The 3686-nt window shown below is 48.8% G+C and overlaps 1 annotated feature.

The window, feature by feature from the left end:
* Window positions 2021-2130: an enhancer, noted in NCBI's record as "active region_401". NCBI's record gives its function as "activates an Ori minimal core promoter by ATAC-STARR-seq in GM12878 lymphoblastoid cells {active_cell/tissue: GM12878}" and the evidence as "EXISTENCE:reporter gene assay evidence [ECO:0000049][PMID:35858748]".

Here is a 3686-nt window from a genome sequence, read left to right as displayed (position 1 = left end):
GGGCATCGCCTGAATGTCCTGGAAAGGCCCCCGCTGGACAGATATCCAGGGCCTGCTTCCTGGGCACTGTGGACTGTGCAGGGGCACAGCGCCCCACACTCTAAAGGGCCTCACACTTGGTTTAAATGCCCTGCATTTATCATCTTGAAATCCTTAACAATCTCATCTCTGAATATTTTTCCATCTGTAAGCAAAGTCAGATGGGACAATGCAGCCGTGGGCAGATTGGTACAGTATATGTGTCTGCTGTTGTTTGCTGCCCATTCACATATAGCATTCGCCATGCCCCTGAGCACCGAGTTCTGTTGGATCCATCACGTGTGTGCAAAGCAAGTCCACGGTAAGTGTGTGATGGCCGGGCGCAGTGGCTCACACTTATAATCCCAGCACTTTGGGAGGCCAAGGCGGATAGATCATTTAAGGCCAGGGGTTTGAGACCACCCTGACCAATATGGCAAAATCCCAGCTCTACTAAAAAAAAAATACAAAAAATTAGCCAGGCATGGTAGTACAGGCCTGTCATCCCAGCTACTCGGGAGGCTGAGGCATGAGAATTGCTTGAACTAGGGGAGGCGGAGGTTGCAGTGAGCCGAGATCGCCCCACTGCACTCCAGCCTGGAAGACAGAGAGCGAGACCTTTTTTTTTTTTTTTTTTTTTGAAGACCGAGTCTTGCTTTGTTGCCCAGGCTGGAGTAGTGCAGTGGCGCGATCTCGGCTCATAGCCACCTCCGCCTCCGGGGTTCAAGCGATTCTCCAGCCTCAGGCTACCAAGTAGCTGGGATTACAGGCGTGCGCCATCACGCCTGGCTAATTTTTTTGTATTTTTAGTAGAGACAAGGTTTCACCATATTGGCCAGGGTGGTCTCGAACTCTTGACCTCAGGTGATCTGCCTGCCTCAGCCTCCCAAAGTGTTGGGATTACAGGCGTGAGCCACTGTGCCAGGCCGACCCTGTCTTAAAACAAGGTTAAGTGTGTTATGTTTATGATTCTGTGGGGGGCCAGGATGGGGGTGGGGAAGGGCTGGCCTAATGGGAGGCCATGCTTTCTCTTCCAACCCAAACTTTCTGTAAACACAGAAAGAAGGCTGTGGACAAGGAGCCCTATCATGTCCTCCTTACTAATGCTACCTCCTGTGTCAGCCAACAGCTTACACTGACAATGATGACATAGAGAGACAGGAAAAGGTGGGGCAACCCACAGTGTCTTTTCCTTTCAGTCTTTTTTTTTTTTTTAAAGAATCGGGGTCTTGCTGTCACCCAGGCTGGAGTGCAGTGGTATGATCATAGTTCACTGCAGGCTTGAACTCCTGGGCTCGAGCCATCCTCTCACCTCAGCTTCCTGAGCAGATAGGACCACAGGCATGTGCCACCACTCCTGGCTAATAATGTTTAGTTTCTGTAGAGTCAAATTCCTGGGCTCAAGCGATCCTCCTGCCTCTGCCTCCTGAGTAGCTGGGACTTCTGGCGTTTCCTTTTAGTCCTTCTTGACTCATCAACAAGCTGAAGGCAGAGAGAGGTGGTAGAATGTGTGCAATCAATAAATGAAATAAACACAGTTGAGTGTGTTTCATGCAGGGTTCTCACTGTTCTGGTAAGAACAAAATACGTATGTATGAGCTATGAAACACAAATTCTATACTACAGTGATTACAGATACGAGTTAAGTGCTCTTATATTTGCATTTAAAATGGGTATTGCAGAAAACAAAGATGAATGGGTAAAAAATTCATGCTAATCATTTAAAATTTTAATTTGCCTTTACTGAAAATGACATTAAGTAACACATTTAAAAAGTCAAGAGAGAGACTGTTGTTAAAGAGAGAAAAAAGCTTTTAGAAGTCCCTTGGTGGCACTTTTTCTTGGTTTTTGAACTAAGGGCCCCTCCATTTTCATTTTGCACTGGGTCCTGGGGAAAGGAAAGCCTCCAGGCACAAGATACACTGCCTGCTCTGTCACTGCTAGGGCCACCCCCACAGCTTCCATTTCCCTTTCTTGGTTCTCTCGCTTCCTGCTTCGTCCTGACACTGTGAAGTGTCATTGCTCCCTCAGTTATAACATTCACCACACTTTATGTGGTTTGCTTTAATTTCTGACTGCTCTGCATGGGGGAGGGGCACTCTCTCTCCTTCTCCACTGTATATCCAGTGCTTAGCTCCTAGTAAGTGCTCAGTGACACTTACTTTTCATTTTTTACTATGAAAACTTCACATAGGCTGGGCGCAGTGGCTCATACCTGTAATCCCAGCACTTTGGGAGGCCGAGGTGGGCGGATCACCTGAGGTCAGGAGTTCGAGACCAGCTGGCCAAGATGGTGAAACCCCATCTCTACTAAAAATACAAAAATCAGCCAGGCGTGGTGGCGTATGCCTGTAGGCCCAGCTACTTGGGAGGCTGAGGCAGGAGAATCGTTTGAACCCGGGAGGCAGAGGTTGTGGTGAGCCGAGATCGCACCATTGTACTCCAGCCTGGGTGACAAGAGCGGAGCTCAGTCTCAAAAACCACTTCATGTAGACATAAAATAGAGAAAGTAATTTAATGAACCACTGCCCTGTCTGCATTATCCTGCCATTCTTATATTAACTCAATTATTTTATTTTTTAAATTTTTTGAGACAGGGTCTTGCTCTGTCGCTCAGGCTAGAGTGCAGTGGTGCAATCATGGCTTACTGCAGCCTCCATATCAATGGGCTCAGGTGATCCTCCCACCTCGGCTCCCCAAGTAGCTGGGACTCCAAGTGTGCACCACCATGCCCATCTAATTTTTTGTATTTTTGTAGAGACAGGGTCTCACCGTTTGTAGAGACAGGGCCTCTCATGCACCATGCATTGTGTGCATTGTTTTACCAGGTTGCCCAGGCTGGTCTCAAACTCCCGGTCTCAAGCAATCCTCCCGCCTCGGCCTCTTAAAGTGCTGGGATTGTAGGTGTGAACCACTGTGCCCGGCCTCAGTCATTTTAGTCTCTCTCTTTCAAGCTGTTGAATTTCCTCAAATGTCTTGCGATTCTTGGTGGACAATCCCATTTATAAATAAAGAACTACAGTACTTACTAGAGATTTCCTTTGCAGTTGTGTGCATTTGTTTACCCGAAGGCGTACCATCATCCCCTGAATGTGAGGGGGGATTTTCATCTTGGAGGAAGTGAGCAGGCCTGGTCATCGGCTTCCTCCTCAGGTGCATGAGCATGGAGCTGCTGGCTGCCTTGGGACAAGACATCTGCTGAAGGACATGGGACTCGGCTCCAGCTCTCCATAGGTCTGTCTCCCGACAGAACAGAGCTGGAGGTCCATTCGTTTCCTTGCCTGCTGCTCCAATATCCCTACCATGGGCCGTCCACAGCCAAATCTACCACTCTTTTTTTTTTTTTTCAGACGGAGTCTCAGTCTGTCACCCGGGCTGGAGTGCAATGGCGTGATCTTGGCTCACTGCAACCTCCGCCTCCCAGGTTCAAGCCATTCTCCTGCCTCAGCCTCCCGAGTAGCTGGGATTACAGGTATGTGCTCCCATGCCTGGCTAATTTTTGTATTTTTAGTAGAGATGGGGTTTCACCATGTTGGCGAGGCTGATCTCAAACTCCCGACCTCAGGTGAACCACCCGCCTTGGCCTCCCAAAGTGCTGGGATTACAGGTGTGAGTCACCGCGTCTGGCCATCTTCCGCTGTTTAGAGTAATTCTTAGGGTTCCCTCTG

Source organism: Homo sapiens, chromosome 1, assembly GCF_000001405.40.
Source record: "Homo sapiens chromosome 1, GRCh38.p14 Primary Assembly".
Taxonomy (NCBI): Eukaryota; Metazoa; Chordata; class Mammalia; order Primates; family Hominidae; genus Homo; species Homo sapiens.
The sequence above is the reverse complement of the archived record's forward strand: the minus strand, read 5'-3'. Positions and strand labels throughout refer to the sequence as shown.